The sequence below is a fragment of the Homo sapiens genome, chromosome 8 (assembly GCF_000001405.40).
Source record: "Homo sapiens chromosome 8, GRCh38.p14 Primary Assembly".
Taxonomy (NCBI): domain Eukaryota; kingdom Metazoa; phylum Chordata; class Mammalia; order Primates; family Hominidae; genus Homo; species Homo sapiens.
In genome coordinates this window covers 16461216-16483805 of record NC_000008.11, presented here as the reverse complement: position 1 = coordinate 16483805, position 22590 = coordinate 16461216, and the positions used below count along the sequence as shown (strand labels likewise).

At 34.9% G+C, this 22590-nt stretch overlaps 1 long non-coding RNA gene across 1 annotated transcript in view, besides 1 other annotated feature; it reads left to right on the top strand.

Annotated features, from left to right (window-relative positions):
* LOC101929028 (uncharacterized) overlaps nt 1-22590 on the top strand; it is a 382849-nt gene that overhangs the window by 271632 nt on the left and 88627 nt on the right. The gene's annotated exons all lie outside the window — the stretch shown is intronic.
* Nucleotides 5839-6600: an enhancer, noted in NCBI's record as "OCT4-NANOG hESC enhancer chr8:16334715-16335476 (GRCh37/hg19 assembly coordinates)". NCBI's record gives its function as "activates a minimal SCP1, AML or CMV promoter by ChIP-STARR-seq in naive and primed H9 embryonic stem cells {active_cell/tissue: H9 hESC(naive and primed)}" and the evidence as "EXISTENCE:reporter gene assay evidence [ECO:0000049][PMID:30033119]".

Sequence of the window (22590 nt, the reverse complement as noted above, 5' to 3'; positions counted from 1 at the left end):
TCTTCTTTGTTGAGACAGGGACTCACTCTGTCGCCCAGGCTGGAGTGCAGTGGTGCGATCACAGCTCACTGCAGCCTCAAACTCCCTGGTCTCAGGTGATCCTCCCACCTCAGCCTCTGGAGTAGCTGGGACTTTACAGATGTGCCACCATTCCTGGATAATGTTTTAAAAATTTTTTTATTGAGAGATGGGCTGGTTTAGAACTCCTGGGCTCAAGCCATGTGGCTGCTTTGGCCTCTCAAAGTGCTGGTATTACAGGTGTGAACCACTGCACTCAGCCTCAACAATCTTCTTTTTGATCACTCTGTACCTAGTCGTACTGGCTTTTTGTTTCTCTCCTGCACCAATTCAGGACCATTGTGCTTGCTGTCCCCTCCTCATGTGTTTTTCTCACATGCACATGGTGAAAAACTTTTGAGACTCTGCTTAAATATTATTTTATTTAAAAAGTCTTCTCTACCAATCTTATAAAATGAAATATTAATTGCATGGACCTTGTTATTTCCCACGTTGCTTTATTCCTCTTCATAACACTTATCACTCTATTACCCATTTATATGTGTGTTTGTTTTTTCTAACTCTTCCTACAAGAATATCGTCTTCATGAGTATGGGAACTTTGTATTTTCGCTGCTGTTACACCAGCTTCTATAATGGTGCTTTGCACATAGATGACACTCAATAAACTTTCTTTTAATACATAGATGAAATAATCCAGTTGAAGTACTTGAAGCATAATGTGGGTGGAAGATAGAACACAGAGTTGGTAGACCACACTAGCTAGAAGATCAGGGCCATGATTCCAAGACTTGCAATGAAAACATAAGCTAACTTAAATTCCTGCACCCTACTGATGTATGTAGTAAGATTTACCTAGAAGATCTGCAGGTATTAGCAGGCCTGAAATTTTTAAGTGAATGTAGATGGATAAACTGACATTTTTTAAGTTGAATTATTATTCTTACAGCATGTCCCGCTGAAGACCATTTGTAAGGTTTTCATGTGCTGGCTCATTACAAATTTAATGATGTGAAGAAAATGTATTTAGCATCTGATGATTTTTCTCAGTTTGAAGAGAGAGAAGATGTTGTGAAATAATATTAGTGAATGGCATCTCAAGTTTGCTAGATAAAAATAGTAAAGTTCCTGCAAATCTTGAGCGTACCTTTGAGGTTTTTGATTATTAATTCAGAGTTCAAACTAGGGAGCCTGGTTGGGTGATTTCCCTCTAGCATGTTTCATGGATTAAGGCATGGAGGAGAGAGCTATTTGGTTTATCTAGAGCTAGAGTCTTACCAGTTAAGTACCAAGGACAGAGGGATAGGCAAGGAAGCTGAGGTCCTTTGTGAGCAAGTGGTTATAGAAATGGACTAGGGTGATTAAGATGAAAAGGATAAAAGTGAAAAATGAGGAAGCTAATATATAGTGAGCATTCAAACTTGTATTTACCTCCCAGACCCATGTTTTTTCTGCCGTTAACCATGGCCTCAAAGAAAGTATCTACTGACAATCTTTGTGTTTTAGCCCTTCACAAATTATTAAAAATGTAGTTTTATAAATGTGAAATGTTCAAAGCGTAACTTATTAAGTTTATAATATATTTTAATATAAGTTTATAATATATTTTATGTTCATTTCTAACTTCTTGATATAGAAGATAAGTAAAATATGCGCCAACCATCAATGAGCCCATAGCCTGATGGGTAAGACAGACATGTAAAGGAATTACCAAAACATCTTAAGCACCTTTGATAGAATGCAGAGAAAGAAGAATGATCACAATACCCCCTCTGATCAATAGCCAGCTTTATAAATGCATAGTACTGTTAAATGAATGCATGATTTCAATAAGGGTATGCATGGAAAAATCTTGCAGACATTTATTATTCATTTATTTGATTCAAGAAAGATTAGGACTGGCTTAAAAGTACTGACATTTAAAACCTGAAAAGCGCTGTTATCAACTTGAATGTCACTTGGCCTGACCCCCAGGATTTTTTATACTTGTAAAAATTTCTGACTTCCAGAACACATAAAAAACTTCTAAAAAGAGAGCAAATATTTAACCAGTTTTTCTTCCTTTGTGCCTCTACTCAAATCTAAAGAAAATAATACAGAGAATAATACAGAGGTGATTGTTTGAAGTTTCCTGCTGATTTCACACATCATTTCTTATTAAGTATTAGAATATATTCTGTGTCCGCATGGCATTATTACAGATATCCCTGCTATAGGGGTTACATGAAATAACGTATAAAATATTCTTAGCCCAGTTCTGGAAAAAGGAAAGCAGTCAATGCTTGTCAGCTCTACAGCGACATATTGCTGACATCTTATAATTACTGTTTTCCAGGATTTTTTTAAATTTCTTTTTTCTCTACCTATTTACTCTACACTCTCCTTAGACAATTTTATCCACTGATATAAATTTTATTATTGTCTATATGCTAACAATTCCAGAGCCTGTATCAAGACTAAGAACAAAGTGAAATCTCAAGAAAAGTCTAGGCTTGATATATTTATTTGGGAATTATTGGCATATTGATAATGTATAGACAGTGATTAAAGATATGGTGAACTTGAAATGTCATTGAAACATGTAAATGGAAATAACTGGTAAGCATATCATTAATCAAACTAGAAAAAAATTCTCTGCGACCTTCTGAAGTTCCAGTTCTTCCTATCTTAGGAAATGCCTTCACTATCTACTTAGCCACTGATTCTGGAAACTAGAGGTTGTATTCTAGTTTTTAAATTTCTGTTACCTAGTGTAGGACCTGAGCCGATTAATCATGAAGGCATCTATGTAAAATAGAATTCATCCAATTCTTTCTTTCCTCACTATTACTACCTTGATCTAATTCATATTGCCTCTTTGTTCTCTTATAGTAGTAGCCCTCGAATCAGCCTCACGGTAGCCACTCTCAAATAAACTGTATCCTTGAAAATGTTAGGCACCACATGTATGCTATCTTTGCCAAATTATCAACATGTCTTTTGGGGTTAAACCTGAGAACTGAAGATGTTAAGAAAATGTCAGTAGAAATGTAGGAAGATTGCTTATTGGATATATGTGTCAGAAACCATGCTCATTGTTTAGGTCTAAATTTGATTTGTAGTTTTTAGAATTTAAATGTTCTTTGAATTTTCAAAGTATCAGGGGCTTAACTTTGAGCTCTGTCTCTGGCTAGTCCTTGGGACTCCATTCAATATCTTCCATCTGTTATATATAATTTGTTCACATAATTGTTGCAGGAATATCAGAAATCTAAATCATGGGAGTAATTTTATAGGGTCCTATATGATAATAAAAATAGTAACTATCATTACAGAAAAACTCTAGAATATGCAACAAATTTTACATGCAGAAATTCTAAGTATTACTACAACCGTGCAAGTTAGGTGTTTTGGGTGGTATATTTTGAGGCATTATCATGTTTTAAAATCTGTGTATTCTCCCCCTCCCCTCCCACTTCCCAATCCTGCCATTTCATATGAGTAAATGGTCAGACTTGTGCTTGTTTTGAGTGAGTTTTGAAACAAGGTAGAATGCAGAAGGCTCTTGCAAGTCTTTTTAAACTCTAGAGACATGAGAAGATTGAGACATAGATAAAATATCTTAACCATAAACACAAAGGCAGAAGGATTTCACTGAAACTAGAAAGTTTTCCCAGCTTGACATGAAGGGAGATGGTGACATTGGAGATGGGGATTTCAAAGCACAAGTGACATGTCCTCAGCTTCCAGCAGAGAAGCCAAAAGGCCAGCGATATTCCAGAGGGGAAATGGTTACAAGAGTCATTTAAGGGTGGGTGTGGTGGCTCATGCCTGTAATCCCAGCACTTTGAGAGGAAGAGGCAGGCGGATCACTTCAGGTCAGGAGTTCGAGACCAGCCTGGCTAACATGATGAAACCCCATCTCTACTAAAAATACAAAAATTAGCCAGGACTTGTGGTGAACACCTGCAATTTCAACTACTTGGGAGGCTGAGGCAGGAGAATCACTTGAACCCGGGAGGCGGAGGTTGCAGTGAGCCAACATCGCACTACTGTACTCCAGTCTGGGTGACAAGAGCGAACCTCTGTCAAAAAAAAAAAAAAAAATATTAGCTGAGTGTGGTGGTGTGCACCTGTGATTCTAGCCACTCTAGAGGTTGAGGCAGGAGAATCGCTTGAACCCAGGAGGCGGAGGTTGCAGTGAGCCGAGATCACGCCACTGCACTCCAGCCTGGGCAACAGTGAGACTCTATCTCAAGAAAAAAAAAAAAAGAGTGATTTAAGCAAGCAGAACAACTGGTGACCTCAAGGAAGATCTCAGAACCCCATGTAGAACTTGGACTCATTCAAGCTCATCCCGGTCCTCAGGGTCATGATGATGAGAAGAAGGACAGTGCCTGTCAGGATAAATGACTCTTGTACTGTAAGGTATCTGCCTCAGAACTGTACAGGATTCTAAAATAGAAGCACAGATTCTGAGGAAGGGATAGACCTCTCTCCCAACCCCACCTAAAGTCTCTAAAAAAATAAGATTGGGCCTGCCCAGAATTATAACTTTTTCTTGACTTTCTGTTTCTTATAATGATAAGGAAAATTGCTGAAAATACCAGAGATATTTAGAGGATATATTTAATTGAATTGAATTAAACAATGGAGTAATTTAGAGATCTAATTACTTCATTCTCATATAACAATGCCCTGTGGCTATAAATGTATCTGTTTTTCAGGCATTATGTATTTTCTGGATCCTCGTGTGAATCAAACTCTTATCTAATTGAAAGTACACTGGAATTGGATATAGTAAAGAAAAGTAATTTTTCGTAATTCCTTTCTGTCATGAATTTAGCAAGTAAAGTTTGTTTTGCATTTTAAGGAATAAAATTGCAGCAGCTGACACTCATTGCAGTACATTCTAAAGCCTAATTTATGGTTTGCCTATAAATTTCCATGCTAATGTATTTCCATTGTTATATTTTTGCTTACAAGGATTTTAGTGTCACATTATTTAATTGAAGTCAAATGATGTTATTTACCTTTTAGTGATGCAGAAAAAAATGCATTTGCAAGCTACTATTATTCAAATTGAATTTTCTTGTAGAATGCTGGATGTCTTGAGTGCAGAAAATTTCAGATATAAATTTAAAACAAGTGCTAAATTGTGACATCTACTCTATAAAACCAATAATAGACATGATATGGGAGCTGAGATTGTAATTGATTATGTGCAAGACATTTGTTGAATCATCAAATAACACGAGATTTCAATAAATGATTCTAAATATAAAAAGTGCAATATCTGGTATCTATAAACATTATAATCACTTTGTATAACATATTTAGTTAAACGACTGAATGAATATGAAGACAATAACATTCCATAATGTTCTGTAGCTTCAGCAGCATCATACGATTACTTTGGGGTTTTTTAATTACTAGAATGTATATTTTAGAAAATAATTCAGAAACTCACCTATACATTTAGCATTCTGGAGGAGGTGCTTATGACTGACTCTTTGAGTTACTAGTATATGAAAAACAGATGTAGAATTATTTCCAATTGAACTGACGTCTGATGCCATTCTGAAACTTATGAGTGACTGAGGAATTTGGTAAACATTCATGTACACTTCTTGCTTTTTCAACTGGATGAACATCATTTTCTGTGTCTTTAGGCTGAAGTGGCTACCTTCGTTCTGAGTTAGAAGGTTACTGCCAAACCCAATACAATTGAGGAAACAAGTGGAATATATGTTTTTGTGTGTGTGTGTGTCAAGGTCCATATTTCTTTATCTTCTCATAAAAACAAATAGACTGATTTGGTGCCACATATGGACCAAAATAGCTTTATGAGAACTCAGGAATCCAGATAAGAGGTTACAATGCTCCGGGATCGCACAAAACCAAGAATAATCACATTAAAATGATAAGAAGAGCAGTTTCTAATCACCCACTCCCTCAAGCCAGCACACCCTAGTACTGAGGGAGATTCCCTCAACCTGTGATTTCTCCCATCAGGGAAAGGGAATCAGTGGGCATCTAACATCCGCAGGCTTTTGGGGCACCGCTCAAAAGACCTGCTTTTGTCTTATCACACTCAGAGTGCTAAGGGAATCTAGCATAGTTAGAATGCCTGGGGGAAGCTAAGAACAAAGAAAAGGGGTAAGTGGCTCTCAGCAGCTGGTGCAGATGTTAACAGCCATTGTGGCTCTCAGCAGCTGACTTGAATCTCAATTGACAGAGTGGATCTTATCTGATGGGGCATATATCCATAGCATATGCAGCTCTCAAGCTGATGGCACAGATCTTAGCAGATGGCATGGATCTTAGCAGCCAGCACATGGAGCTCTCAGCTGGATGTGTAGACCTCAGAAGCTGGCTTAGTTCAGTAGGATTGGGAGAAGGTACATAATTCTAAAACTTCTTGTTTAGGCAGGAGGGAAAGAAGTGTAACTTATACTCAATGTCCCAACATTTTATTGAGCTGCCCAAGGAAAAAGGAGCCTGTGGCTTTCGGCACCTGGCATGGATCTGAGGGATTAGGAGAAGATGCACAATCTTGAGATTTCTCCCCAGCAGGTAGGGAGAAGGGTAAAGTGTGCAAATACATATAAAAGATTTTGGAAACTTCCAGATACACTAGCAGGGTTAATTGAGGAGGTCTTTCCCTACCAAAGCAAGGCCTGTAAAGGCTGGACAAAGTGGATATACTTCAAATGCACAAATAGCTACTGAAATCTGAAGTAAAACAAAGAATCAGGGAAACATGACACTACAAAAAAAACAAAAAACAAAAAACAAAAAAAAAAAACCCACAGTAAATCTCTGGTAACAGACCTTAAGGAAATGGAGACCTATGAACTGACTGACAAAAAATTCTAAATAATTATCTTAAAGAAACAGAAACTCTGGAGCTGAAGAGTACATACAATAACTGAGCTGAAAAATATAGATATTCAGCAGGAGACCTGATCAAGGAGAAGAAATAATCTCCAAACCTGAAGACAAGTAATTTGGAATTATCAAGTTAGAGGAACAAAAAGAAAAAAAAGGGGAAGAGTGGAGAAAGCCCACGGGCCCTCTGGGACATCATTAGGACAACAAATAAGCACATTATGAAAGTTCCAGAATAAGAAGAGGGAAAAGGGCAGAAAGCTCATTTAAAGAAATAATGGCTGAAAACATCTCAAATCTGGGGAGAGAAATGGACACCTAGATTCGTTAAGCTCAAACTATCCCAAATCAGATGAATCTAAAGATATTGACACCAAAAGAAGACACATATTATAATCAAATTGTCAAAAGTCAAGGGCACAGAGAATTTTGCAAGCAGCTAGAGAAAAATCACTTATTACTTATCAACAGGGTATCAAGAATATGCAATGGGGAAATGACAGTCTCTTCAACAAACGGTTTTGAGAATACTAGGTATCTACATACGAAAGAATGAAATTGGGCTACTACCTTACACGATTTAGAAAAATCAAAGTGGATTAAAGACTTAAAGATAAGATCTAAAATCATAAAACTCAGGAGGAAACATAAGGGAAAAGCTTTATGATACTGGGTTTGACAATGATTTCCTGGATATGATACAAAAAGCACAGGCAACAAAGCAAAAACAGAGAAATCGGACTACCTCAAACTAAAAAGCTTCTGCATAGCAAAGCAAAGAAGTAGCAGAGTAAAAAGGAGCCTATGTAATGGGAGAAAGTATTTGCAAACCACTTATCTGATGATGGGTTAATATTCAAACTATGTAAGAAACTCCTACAATTTAACAGCCAAAAAAAAAAAAAAAAGAATAACATGACTACAAATGGGCAAAAGAGTTAAATAGACATTTCTCCAAAGAGGGCATACACGTGGGCATTAGGTATATGAAAAGGTGCTCAGTATCACTGATCATCAGGGAAATACGAGTCAAAACCACAATGAGATATCACCTCACAGCTGTATGGGATGACTAGTTTCAAACAAAAGATGACACGTTTAATGAGGATGTGGCGAAGTTTGAACGCTTGTACACTATTGGTGGGAATTTAAAATTATGCAGCTACTATGGGAAACAGTATGAAAAGTCCTCAAAAAAATTAAAGATAAAAATACTATATAGTCCAGTGGGAACTACTGGGGAGGGGAGGTGGGGGCAAAGGGTTGAAAAACTATCTATTGGGTGCTATGTTCACTATCTGGGTGGTGGGAACATTCCTACCCCAAACCTCAGCATCACACAATATAACCACGCAACAAACCTGCACATTTTACCCCTTGAATCTAAAATAAATGTTGAAATTATCAAATAAGAAGAAATACCATATAATCTGGAAATCCCACTTCTGAGTATATGTATTTAAAAAACTGAAATCAAAATTTTGAAGAGCTGTCTGCACTGCTATATTCATTGCTGCATTGTTCATAATATCCAGTGTATGAAAGCAGCCCACGTGTCTATCCAAAGATGACTGGATTAAAAGGCAGCATATAATACATACAATAGAATATAGTTTAGCCTTAAAAGAGATCTCTGCCATTTGTGACAATGTGGATGAACCAGAAGGACAGTCCGTTATGTAAAAATAAGCCAGTCTCAGAAAGACAAATATTGTATGATTCTATTCATATGAGTTATCTCAACTGGTCATTCTCATGAAAGCAGATAATAGAATGCTGGCTGCCAAGGGCCTGGATGAGGAGCAAATGGGGAGTTGTTGATGCGTGTAAAGTTTCAGTTATGTGAGATAAACAACAGAATCTAGAGATCTGTTGTACAATGTAGCACCTATAGTGAACAACATGATATTGTGCAGTTAGAAATTCATTAAAAGAATAGATGTCATGATAGGCATTCTTACCATACCAAAAAACAAAAAAAGGGGGGGACACAAGTAAACTTTAGACCTGATGATATATTTATTACCTCGAATATCATGAGTAATGCATATGTCCAAAGTCATCAAATTGTATCCATTAAACATGTTCAGTCTTTTGGTATATCGGTTAAACCCCAGTAAAGTTGTTAAAAACAGAAGTAAAAATAAAATTCCTAGCAGAATTTTTTGTAATAGAAAATAAGACAAACTACATAATTGTAATGTATAGAGGAATAGTTAAACTGTGGCATTATCCAGCTGTAGAATATTTAGCAACTGTGGAAATGAATGAGCTAGAGTTACCATAATCAGCATGTTTGAGGTGGAAAAGTTGTAGACAAATGCATACTATGTAGCGTACATGTATATTGCATAAAGTTTAAACCATGGAAAATAAAAACTCATTATTTGAGAACCAAACAGAGGTCTATAGTTGCATTGGAACAAGAAGCAGCAGATTCAAAATAGTGGATCCCTTTGCAGGAAGAAAGTGAGGATTTGTTTTTTAAGGTGATAGATAAAAGCAGCGATATATGCCATATTATATTTATGCTTCTTGTCTGTCTAAAATATTTCATAATAAAACATTAACACCTTGAAAATAACTAAAAGATCACTGTGATAGAGTGATTATTATAAGCACAGATCTGGAGTCTCAGAGAGCAGGGTTCAAATATAAGTTTCAGTATTTACTAATTATCTGTGTGACTTTGGCTGCTAAGATGCTTTGAGCTTTATTTATTTATTTATTTATTTTAGTTTGTAAATTGAAGCTTAAAAAGTTGTTTTGAGGCTCACTGAGATGTGCTAAGACACCTGGCATAGCTCTTCCCAGCTAGCAGAGCCTCAACAATGGATACCCGTCCCTGTGTTTCACATTAATGCATGGGCTGTGAGAAAAAGGCTTTGAAGACTTTTTGAATAGGAGGGAAAAAAGTAAATCAAAGATGTGGTTGAACAAGATTCAAGATAAGATTGCTTCCTTGTGATTTTATCTATAACCAACCCTTGTCTTAATGTATAGAAGATAAATATTTTTGGAAAATAAATAAAGAACAATGCCAAAATTAAAATATACAAACTTTCAGTTTGTAAAAAGAAAAAAAAAGTTTTTAACAAAGAATTAAGTCTCTGAATGATTTACTGAGGGAGGTTGTAAGGAATGTATAATGTATGTATACATACATGTATGTATGCATAATGTATGCACGTGTCTATCAGTCTTTAATGAACAAATGCTGCTCATTTGATTGTTGACATATTTAGAAATAAGTTGATATTCCAAGATATCACTTGGCATTTTTCTGTTTTGTAGGAATGTACCCAGGTAGATAAGGGAAGTCAAAATATATAAATACACCTAGGTAGATTAGGGAAGTCAGAATTATCTACCATGAGGCAATGCCTATAAAAGATTATTTCTTCCCCCTTGGACGTTTAGCAAAAGGCTGATTGAACATATTCAGACATGCGTTAAAAGCAAACCATAGTGACTCAATAGAGAAAACACTATACAGACGGATTTAAATATTGTATTTCCCATTCAAATGTTTACCTTTACATGTGTTATATCTATAGGTTTGCATTTGTTACTTTTAGTATCTCAATTTTCATTCAGTAATTTTTGCTGCGTTATTCTCTTTGTCCTTTGGAATATAGAAATGGAGACGTTGCTATTAAAAACTTAGAATTATTTTTTAGTCAAAGTTTTGAATATCAAATAGCAATCAGAAATTTCAATTTGCTTCTTAAGGTTTTCTTTATTTTTCCAAATAAGTATTTATTGCTTTAATAATTAAGAGATTAAATATGAACAAACCTGCACGTTCTGTACATGTATCTCAGAACTTAAAGTATAATAAATAAATAAATAAATACGAAAAAATGAAATCGAATATGGTATTTTAAAATTTTAAAAACCAAAGTTATAAATGACAATCTACAATCAAACAGTAAATGAAAGTGAGAATTTTGGGAACTTCAATTACACTTTGAAAATACGTGCTCATTTCGAAATCAATGTTCCTGACATTGTGAAAAATTCTTGATTTAATTATATTTTAAATTTAACAATTCAGTAAAAAACAAAGTGGTATTTATCACTCTGTGCTAAGACTACAAGGGGTACTGCTTTTCATCCATTATAATTTTCTACTTTTAAATAACAAACATAATTATTTGTTAAAATTTGTATTAAAAATAAACCATGCAAAAATATGCATGGTTTATGTCAGAAGACTATAATAAACTATAAAAGGTTTACTAAAAAGTGCTTTATATGACATAACAATTTAAAGGAAGAGCATTTGGGTTCCTATGTCACAACTAACCAAGATTTTATAAAACTGTATATCATAAGGAAAAGGCAGTGATGATCAACAAAAATGTGGAAGCTTTACATATGTAAGAACATTTATAATCTTCAATTGCATATGAAATTATTCTATTCATAGTTTACTACTGACTACTTTCTAAATTGCAGAATTACTAATTAATTTGAAAACATTTTAAGTAGCAGTACTTTTTATTTGCCAATCAGGCTATTATTAGTTATATATATATATATATATATGTTAATAACATGGATATAAAATATTATTTGTTGTGGCAGGCAAAAATATGATACAGTTTATTTATTGGCTGTATGTTAATTGCATTCTTTTTTCTTGTTGTAAACTGAAAATTTGAGATCTCATTGATCTCATGACTATGGGATAATAATTTCAACAAAGTAAAATTTATATAGTAACATAATAGAATTATTGTTTTCAGTAGCTTATCATTTATGTGGTGAACTTAAACACAGCCAGTCTGGTTTATTACCCATGATTATAGTGTGCATCAGATTTGGAGCGCTTTTTGAATGGGATATTATCTGAAGTTGAGGTGAATAATGAGCAATTCTTTAACCGTTCTTTGTTTACATTTTTATACAAGTTAATTTTTGAATAAGACCTTCTACCTTAATATGTAGTAATTTCAGTGAAAACGATTTTGGGTTATGTGTTCTCTAAATTATAGATATTATAATTATGAACACCATATATGCTGGTTATATACATCTACATGTTATAATTATAAACATTCTGGTCGATACAGCAAAGCCTGTAGTGTTAATTGGAAATGGTCTTCCCTAGTGAGATTTCGTAGAAGACAGAAAGCTTCTGTTCCCCATCCAGAGCCCTACAATACCTCCACCTGTGTCAAGGTACTTTACTTTTTCTACCCTCAGGGGAGCCACTGCCTGCAGTTAATGGTGTGTGAAATGAAAATCAAGACTTTTTGGTTTTGGAATTAGGCACTTGATTCTTCTTCTTTACTCCTACTGATATTGACAGCCTTTCCTAGGACCGTCTCCAACGAGACCCTGACAGCTCAGCGATCTGAATGTTTCGATACTCTGTTTCACTTTACTTCTCCACATTCTAACACATTTTCAACAACCTCAACACCAAAAAGAATCTCCCCAAGCATAGAAATAATGGCATTCCTATGCTATCTACAACAAATAATTAGCGATATAAATTGGGTTCAATCTGAATGTCCTTTAATTAAATGGATTAAGTACTTACAAAACATAGTTATTTTATAATACAGGCCTATTCAAGACCGTTCTTGGATGTGTAGTTGCAGTGTTTCTTATACAATATATTCAACCATTTATTTGTTCATTTCGTAAGACTCACCCATAAACTATTATGATAAATTATCATGGCAGGCACTTAGAATGCAGAGGAGTACACAGGACTAAACGTATCATTAGACAGCAGGCAGGACAGCCACTAGTTATAAAACATCGTGCCAAATTCTCACAGACTTAGGTAACAAGTGATGTGGAAGCATGAAAAAGGAATGATCAAGTATGTTTGGGAAGTCAGAGAAAAATTCACAGTGTGTCTCATTGAGTGTTCAGTGGAGGTGGGGGGGCAATGTGTGAACTTAGTCCATGTGCGTGACATATTTTTAAGGTGAACAATGAAATTGTAGACTCGAAGAAATATGTTTTTTAAAAGAGATGGATCTCCCTGTGGTGCTCAGGCTGGCCTTGAGCTCCTGGGCTTGAGCAATCCTCAAATCTCAGCCTCTAGAGGAGCTGGGATTACAGGCAGGTCCACCACGCCTGGCAAGAAGTATGATTTATAGCATTAGGATATAGTGGTTAAGAACCTGTAGTGAGGAGTTTGAAGAATGAAATTTGAACCTCAGTTTCCTTATTTAATATTTTGACAAGTTACTTTCTCTGATGATAAGTAGAAACAAAAGTAATATATATTTAATAAATTTCTAGGGAAAATCAAGTGACCTACTCACAAAATAGCAGCATTCTGGTGCATGATAAACAATCAACAAGTAATAGCTAATAACTATATTTTACATAAAGTTGAGGGCCTATAAGAATCATTTAGATATTAAAATGAATGATTAGAGAAATAAAGAGATACGTTTTCTTCATCAATGATAGACTGGATAAAGAAAAATGTGGCACATATACATCATGGAATACTATGCAGCCATGAAAAAGGATGAGTTCACTTCCTTTGCAAGGACATGGATGAAGCTAGAAATCATTCTCAGCAAACTAACACAGGAACAGAAAACCAAACACCGCATGTTCTCATTCGTAAGTGGAAGCTGAACAATGAGAACACATGGGCACAGAGAGGAAAACATCACACACTGGGGCCTATTGGGGGGTGGAGGACTAGGGGAGGGACAGCATTAGGAGAAATACCGAACGTAGATGGCGTGTTGACGGGTGCAGCAAAACACCACAGCACGTGTATACCTATGTAACAAAACTGCACCTGCTGCACATGTATCCCAGAACTTAAGTGTAATAATAAAAAAAAATTGAATATAACTTATAGTAGAATAAAAAAATAGAATGAAATGTCTATAGTCCATTACAGAAATTCAACAATAACAGAATAATATAATTCATATAGAAAAGTTAAAAAATTTAATTGAAAATCAAATTCTTAAAACGTTATACAAGTATATAAAAGAATGAAGCTCATATATAGCAATCAGCTGGTAGTGTAATCCCAGCACTTTGGGAGGCTGAGCAGGCCGATCTCAAGCAAGGAGCTTGAGACCAGCCTGGCCAACATGTCGGTGAAACCCTGTCTCTACCAAGAATACAAAAATTACTCGAGCATGGAGGCGCACTCCTGTAATCCCAGCTACTCAGGAGGCGGAAGCAGGAGAATCACTAGAACCCAGGAGGCGGAGGTTGCAGTGAGATGAGATTGTGCCACTGCACTGCAGCCTGGGTGACAGAGTGAGACTCTGCATAAAATATCTATACCTATATCTATCATAATATATCATAAATATATATCACAAATATATATGTACACATATATCATATATATGCACACATATATATCTATCATATATACATATCATATATATTCTAGAATAATTCATAGAAAATACTTTGGGAGAGGAAAAGACTTGAGTGATATATCATAATGTTTTGGTGTTTATGTCTAGTGGTGATATGGATGACTTATCTTCTCCTTTGTGATTGTCTATACTTTTGCATCTTTCTACAGTTGTCATAAATTATTTTTATTATTTGTAAAACCATATACAATCATATATTTAAGTGACCTTTCATTTTCCTCTTGGTTTCCTTATTCTTGTCAAATCCATCCACCTGAATTTGTTTTCCTATTAAGTTGAATTCCTTTTCAGTACTATGCATAAATCCATCCCTAGTTAGGAACAGATGTTTGTGTGTGTGTATGTGTGTACATATGAACATGAATTTCTAGTGTTAAAGAAAAGTCATCTAACCAAAAAGGAGTTTGTGCTAGGTGCTGTTTTATTTTGCTATTGGAAAGATGAGTTTTGGTGATGTACTTAATGTACAGCATGATCAAACTGTTGTCTTTTGATGAGTTATTACTATAATGTATCATCAAAGCCTCATGGCTTTGATAGAGTATACTAACATGTTTTTTGAACAAAAGAAGTTTGATGATTTATTAAAATAATGCTATTCTACTGTTTAAAAGCTGCTTAAAAAGGTAAACAAAACATGCTTAAAGACTAAGAGAGAAAATAAATAAAACTCACTAAACTTTAAACTCACTAAAAATATAAGAAGAGATACTTATTTTTTATTATTAAACAATGTCAAAGCGAAATTCTTGAAACCTTTAGTGAATCAGGATAACCTCTTATCTTCTTGTAAGGAGTTTGTGTTTTGTTCTGGTCTTCTTAAAAAAACAGAATGCACATTGTAATCATATAATATTTGACAATGCATAAAATGTATATGCTGATTTTGCCTTCATTCAGAAATTTAGATCTTTTATTCTCCTAAAAATATATAGAAATTTTACATTGTAATCTTGGTTGTTGGGTGAGCATGGAAAGAAATGTAATCATGTCATATTCAATGAATGATTTTGTGGCTATGTTTCATTTATCATCTCCACTGAAGCATCGTATGAATATGCATAATCTCGCTTTCTTTACTGAGCCTTTACAGTGTAATTTCACAAGTAAATGATAAATGCTGTATTTAGATGGTTGGCTGGATTCCCAGCTTTGTTTTGCATTATTCTTTTGTTTTCTGAAATTCAAGGGCAATACAGATTGATTGATTTTTTTTAGATATGCTTTGCCTTTTATATAATTAATTTACAATGTGTGATTTCTAATGTCTTTAGTGAATGAAATAATAATCTCAATTATTTTGCTTTTGATTTTACTGACAATCTAGAATATACTTCATATATTAACTTATTCATAAAATTATTTTTTGTGTGTGGTTAATAGTAAAATATTTGTTGAGGTGTTTTGTGCTATGTGCAATGACAACTACTTAACTTGAATTCACCATAATCCTATACCACAGTGACATTTCTTTTCCTTCTGTTTGGATTTTAGAAAACTGAAGCCTACCCAGAGGGTAAATATTGAGTCAGGATCTAAACACAGTTGGACTTTACAGCTCTCAGGATCGTAACACCTAACTTCTTCCAAAAAGTGAAATGACTTTACTTCTAATTTCCTCCATTCATCCAATACCATTTGAAAATAGTGTCTGAGTGTATACTATTTTTCAAGCACTGTTCCTGGGAATCCAGGTACACAGTAAACTTTAGAGACAAAGTTCCTGATCTTAGTCCACTGTTCCAGTAGGAAAAGACATCAACATCGGGCCAAATAGATAATAAAGAAATAAAAGTTAAGAAAGTCTTAAGCGTACCAAAAAACATAAAGCAATGTCCTGGGATAGAGGATGACTGGTGCGTGTTATGTTTGATATAATAATCAGGGAAAACAAAGTTACTATTTGTTAATGGATCTGAAGTTTGAGAAGCCAGACATAATACAAAGATCTAGTTGATGAATATTCTAGGCAGGGCGCAGATAATTAAATTTAGTTTAAATCTTTTCAGTGAGGAGAGGTGAAGAGCCTCTACTGAGTACCCATTTAAAATCCTACATGATTTGTAGGATTGGATCTAAGGAAGCACCAAGACTTAGCAGTTTTATGGGGAGGGGTGGGGGAGTAAGAGAGAGATTCCATAGGTCTTGTGAGTTCCCATTGGGTTAACATTCATCTTCTCTTGTACTTGAGAAATGAGAAGAAATGTGAATACTGTAAATGGAAAAACACTTAGGAAAGTTTTATAAGCATTTTGCTTCCTTATAGCTAAGAAAGGTAATTTGCGTACTTTGTGGCTTGGATGGTTTCTTTAAGACTCTCGCCAATAAACAGATTGGTGAACTGAAGCCCCTTTAAGGTAACCTCACATCCGAGCACAGAAACACAAGGCAGGAGACTCAGGCCTGGCTCCACCAGCCATTTCTGTCCTGTCCTTCTGTTATTAAAAAGTGATATTTTATCCATTCCTTCATCTTTCCCAAGACTCTGGTAACATTTTCCCCTGTTCCCTTATTTCTGAATTCTCTCTTTCTATCGTTAAGAAATAAAATAGCCCTACATTTCTCTTTTTTATCTTCAGTTTTTACACATTAATAAAAATACTGCAAAACATAAAATAGGAAGCGAATCATAGACACCACAGAATATTTTTTAAAGTAATTTAGAAAAAGTTTTCTCTATGATTTCTATAGGAAGATGTCAATTTGCCAAATTCCTGATTCTCTTTGTATCTGAGTCCTTGAAGACTTCAAACTTACATGATTAATTTATATAAATAAATGTATCCTTTAATATAGGTGAATAGAAAGATCATAGTGAAATTTTAATGTTTTTAATTTGTTCAGTGTAACTCTCACATTCTTTGTTATTGGGAAGTAAATTAGCTTGTCATCTCTTTGTTCTCTTATATATATTTTTTAATTTTCTTCAGCTTCCCAAGTTTTGCAGTTTTTTTTTTCAAGGAGTAGCTTAGCACCTAGATGTGTTGTAAGCATAAAAACAGAAAAAAATAGAAATGTTGATTATCTGAGTTTTAGGAAACAGAGAAAGGACTTTTCTAATGAGTCCTTAAATATAACATAAATCTTGTATTAAGTCACTTTTAAAATGGCAAGCTTTTAAGGCTAAAAATTATAAATAATTAAAGATGACTGATGTATAATTACAATTCCATTACATACTCTGAAACATTTTCATGGAGAAGATAGATGGTATAAATGACCAAGTAATTATTTTCTTTTAGAGAAGCAACTCCTAATTGAAAGGCTACTAGCAAATGAAAACGAAGAAATTTACTGTTTTTGATCAGGTAGTGTTTGGTGGATGCATGGGTACACTGCATCTTACAGAAGATGTGAAAGGGTAATAAAAAAACATGCTTATAAACTTTTAAAAAAATTAAAATTGAGCTGGCTGAAAAATATAACTTTTCTGAAAAAGTTTAATGTTCAAGTTTTGCCACACAACTTTTCAATTTAAGATATATCAAACAAACGATTATTTTCTATATTCATGACATGTCATTCATGTGCCAGGAAGTATATTGAATATAAAATCAGATACTTTTCTTGATATTAACTATATGACAGGGTTGTTATACTGATATGTCATCCTATTTTTACTGTTTTGCCTTGCTACTCTATCTCTGCACATATAAATTCTATTAAGTCATCAGAGAGTCCAACACACATCGAGAGAAGGGAAGTCAACCAAAAATTTAAACTGTCATTCAGTTTTTACAAGTGCATCCAACAAGTTATTTTTTTTTGGATTATAGAAAGCCCATCTACATCTCTTTATTTCTGGTATTCAATTCTCTGTACTTATGATCATTTTTTAATCTGAAAATATTTGAGTGTCTTAATGAGAGCCATGTTGTGATTCTCTTAAGTGAGACAACCACAGCTGGAGAGAAGTACCTGGTCTGCATTCAGCCCAGTTGGAAAAGACTTAACAGTTACATGATCATTACAAACAAATAGTACAGGAGCCATTGAAAGTCTTAGAATGTATTAAAAATTATATATATTACATATAATAAATATTGTATCTATTTTGGACCAAGGATGTGATTTCAGTTGGAAAATTGCATCTAGTTTTGTTCTGGGCATGTGCTTGAAGGACTTTGATAAGTTAGTATATACTAGGATCAGGAAAACTAGAAAAGAGAGGAGACATTGTGATTGCGGGCTTTTATTATGTTTCAGACTTTATTCTAGAAGTTCTCACATATGTTACCTCATTAAAATGCTAAGCCTTATTAAAGTGCTGTGATGGTAATGTTTAAATGCATTTTGCTTCAGGAAACTTGGAATGACATAAGTTAATTAATTTGACTAAAATCACCCTACTCCATCTTAGTAATTTCTCCTAAATACCTCAGCTCCTAATTCAAATATAGTTTGGCAGCTTCTACAGTTGACAGTGTAAATATTTAGCCACCAGAATAAGTCAGCAAACACTTGACCAAACTGCCCCTTCTTTCACTTCACCAAACCTAGCTGACATATTTGAAGTGGGGACCATTTGGAGTTTTGGCTGTCACGCTGTTTAGGGCACTCTTCATGAAGCGGCATCATTCATCTAGGGTAATACCTGAGGTTTCTTGCCTCACACGAAGAAAATCAAAGATGTGGACCCACAAGGAGTGACGTTAAGAGTGGAGGTTTAATAGGTGAGAAAAAGAGAAAAGCTCTCTCTCCTGCAGAGAGAGAGAGAGGCTCCCAAGTGGGTCTTCTGGTTCCCTGGTGAAATACATGGGGTTTTATAGACAAGCTTGAGGAGGTGGTGTCTGATTAACATAGGGTCCAAAAGATTGGTTGGACCCATTACGTCATTTACATAATGCAAGAAGAAGCTGGTCATCCCACCCTTATCTTTTATTATGCTGATGGGTTCTTTCCTTGGCCAGTGGCCATGTCGGCTTTTTTTTTTTTTTTTGAGACAGAGTTGCCCTCTTGTTGCCCAGGCCAGAGTGCAATGGCACAATCTGTGATCATCGCAACCTCAGCCTCCTGGGTTCAAGCGATTCTCCTGCCTCAGCCTCCTGAGTAGCTGGGACTACAGGCTGTGTCACCCTGCCTGACTAATTTTGTGTTTTCAGTAGAAACGGGTTTTCTCCATATTGTTCAGGCTGGTCTCGAACTGCTGACCTCAGGTGATCCACCTGCCTCGGCCTCCCAAAGTGCTGTTATTACAGGCGTGAGCTATCACACCTGGCTTGTTGCCTGCTTCTTTACTGCACATGTGGCAGCAAAGAAAAAGAAAGAAGGAGCCTCCATGTTGAACATATCTGACTTCCAGGTATCCCTTTTCTATTGGCACAGCTGTTGGCATTCACCTGTGCCAGCTTCTAGCTTGCTTTTCTATGTCTGCAGCTTGATTTTTCAGGCTGCCCTTTGTTAGAAAAGAAAGGATTTGGGGGCTGCATTTTATTAAAAGGGAAACCTTACCGATGACTCTCTTACCCTCACTAACTGCCTAATTTTTAGCTCCCGTATCAATCATTCAGTTTCCAAAATTTGAGGGTGTAGGTATCTCTAAGTTGTCACCCAAAGCTAATAATTTTGAATTCTGGGAACTGAGGAGATCATAGCTGACACACTAGAGTATTATAACTTGTAGATAAATAAACTCTACAGTATCTACAGGCTGAAGAAGAGGGAAAGGAGGTGGGAACCACCACAGGGTTCTTTTCCCACCCTTTGTCTAATTTTCACTTGCTTTTTGGATCCAGAATTTGTCTCTCTTCTCTTAACTAAATATGGGTATATGAATTCAACTTCATGAGAATTTTTGTTTTATTGCCCCAAACTTACATTATTTGTGTGCTTATTGGTATTTTATTTTAAATATCTGAATGCTGCTTTTGGTCCTCTAATTATTCTTTGTAACAAACTACAAACTATGGCTTTCTGTACCTTGTCTTGACTTCATGGCTGCATAAGCTTAGAGAGGAAATGTTTTTCTATGAACACATTAAATTCAATAATGTTTACATTTTCTCTTCTTGTATGGATTTCATTTCTTCCAGTTTGTTTTCACTATTTTTTCATTTTGTGCCTTTGTTTTGTAATAAAGATATTCTTGAGCTATCAGGTGATCATCGACTATCCCTTCATATGTAAGAAAGAAGCATGAAAAAAATTTGTGAGCATAAACAGAACTTATAAAATGGTGGTTTTTATCGTAGTGTGAGTGGTAGGGAGCCAGTGGTTTTCACTGCAAATATTTTTAGACATATTTATATTAGTTATGTATATATTTGGGTAAGGTAGTAATTTATCATATAGGTAACATCTCAAGTTCAACTGGGAGTCTTTCTCATAACTTAGGATCTTTCATTTTCTTAGGATCTCAGCGTGACTTCATCTTTCTAATTTTTCAAATTCTACACAAAATTAAAGAAACAATTATTGGACCTATCTTTTACCTTGGCCAAGTCATGACTTTTAGTCTCCTCTTGGATGTATTAGAGCATATGTCAAATTCTTAAAATCTGTTTGTATCCCTTTGGGGACCCACAACGTTAATTCTCGTGCTCAGAAGTGGTCCATTCAAATCCTATAAAGTTCTATAAATTACAGAATTAATAAATCAAATAACTAGAAAACATATTGAGATGATTCAAACCACTGAAGAATGAATCAGTGACCTGATTACTGAGAAATGGAATATAAAACTTTTCCTAGGAAGTCACATATATGCACACACACACACTCATACATATACATATGTGTATGCATATATACATGTATATTTTTATATAATTTTAGTATTATAATCTATAATATTTTGCACTTATGGGCATTTATGTACAATCAGTAAGTTTAATTGCTCAGTAGTCGAGTGGGTCTATTTTAAGCTTCTAATTCATTTACCAAGTAACTGGAGAAAACCATTAAGGTAATGATCTTTTGTTTATTTAATCTGAAAGTTTTAATTGAGTGGCTTTTATGTGTCAGATGCTGTTCTAGGAAAATTACAAACTCCAGTCCTGAAGTTTTGGACCTTATATTTCATTGAGGAAATGTGTAAATACGTATGTATGTATACACACACAAATAGTTGTATAATTACATTTCAGGTAGTGATATTTTTATGAAGAAAACCTGTCTTTGTTCTGGCTTTATCTACATTTATCTTTTCATATTTGTCAGATTTTCCTGATCTTCATTGATTGCACAATGTAATTCTCAACTCTCATTTTCTTCACCAGGATTGATTACTTTTTGTATTACTGTTTGTTGATTTTTCATTTTTCCCTGCAATTCACTGTGATGTCAACTCTTGGTCATGTTAAGGATGTTTGTATTCCTAATATAATCAGTAAAATAATAAATAGCTGTGAGCTCAATACTTACGGACTTACTCTTTGCTATACCTTCTCCATCATTTTTGCTTTAATATTACAAGCCTATATTTACTTTTCATGTATTGTTTCCAAGAGCCAATATTTTGGATTCTCTGGCTATGAAAAAGGCTTGACAATAATTTTGATCAAAAAATTCTCTAATGGCTGCAGTGTCACATGAAAGTTTCCTGTCATTGGATACAAACCAGGAAGCTGTGATGCATCCTGTGAAACCTCAAACTTCTCCCCAGTTTGAATATCAATAGCGTAGTCCTTAGTAGTAATTTTACATTCAGCACTTGGGTGAACCACACGCAGACACAGATACATTGCTCTTTTATAATTCATACTAATTTTATCCAGTAAACAGATGAATAGATTCTCCTGCTTTTTCTCTTTTGGGAAGAAACGTGTGTGTGTGTGTGTGGGCGCGTGAGTGCACGTGTGTGTAGTGCATCTATATATATATATATACACATGCAAGAAACATATATAATACACATATATATGACGTTGTTAAAAATAATTGAAACAGAAAGAATTCATATATGGACCCTTGTGTCCTCTGTTTTCTAGCTTTCTGTTTCCCTTTCTATTGACACTGTTGACACTGTTCTCAGGTCATACATAAATGTTTATAAAAACATACATACATGTTTATAAAAACATACATATATGTTTATAAAACGTATTCCTCTGTTATACAAACGATTGCACTTCATATATAGTTCTGTACCATAGTGAGATACTCTAGAGTAAGCTGCACTAAGAAATTATTCCTGGAATGTCAATGTCAAACAGTTATTTCTTGATTGCAGTTTATAACCAGCCTGGGTTGACAGCCAGGAGTGAGAGTACCCCAGTGGTCTGCTCTATTCTGTCACTCAGGGAGCTGGGTTGCCAGTCTCCAACGTTCTTTTTGTCTCCCTCCTCCCCTGCAGAGCAAAAGAGTGGGAGAGGGTG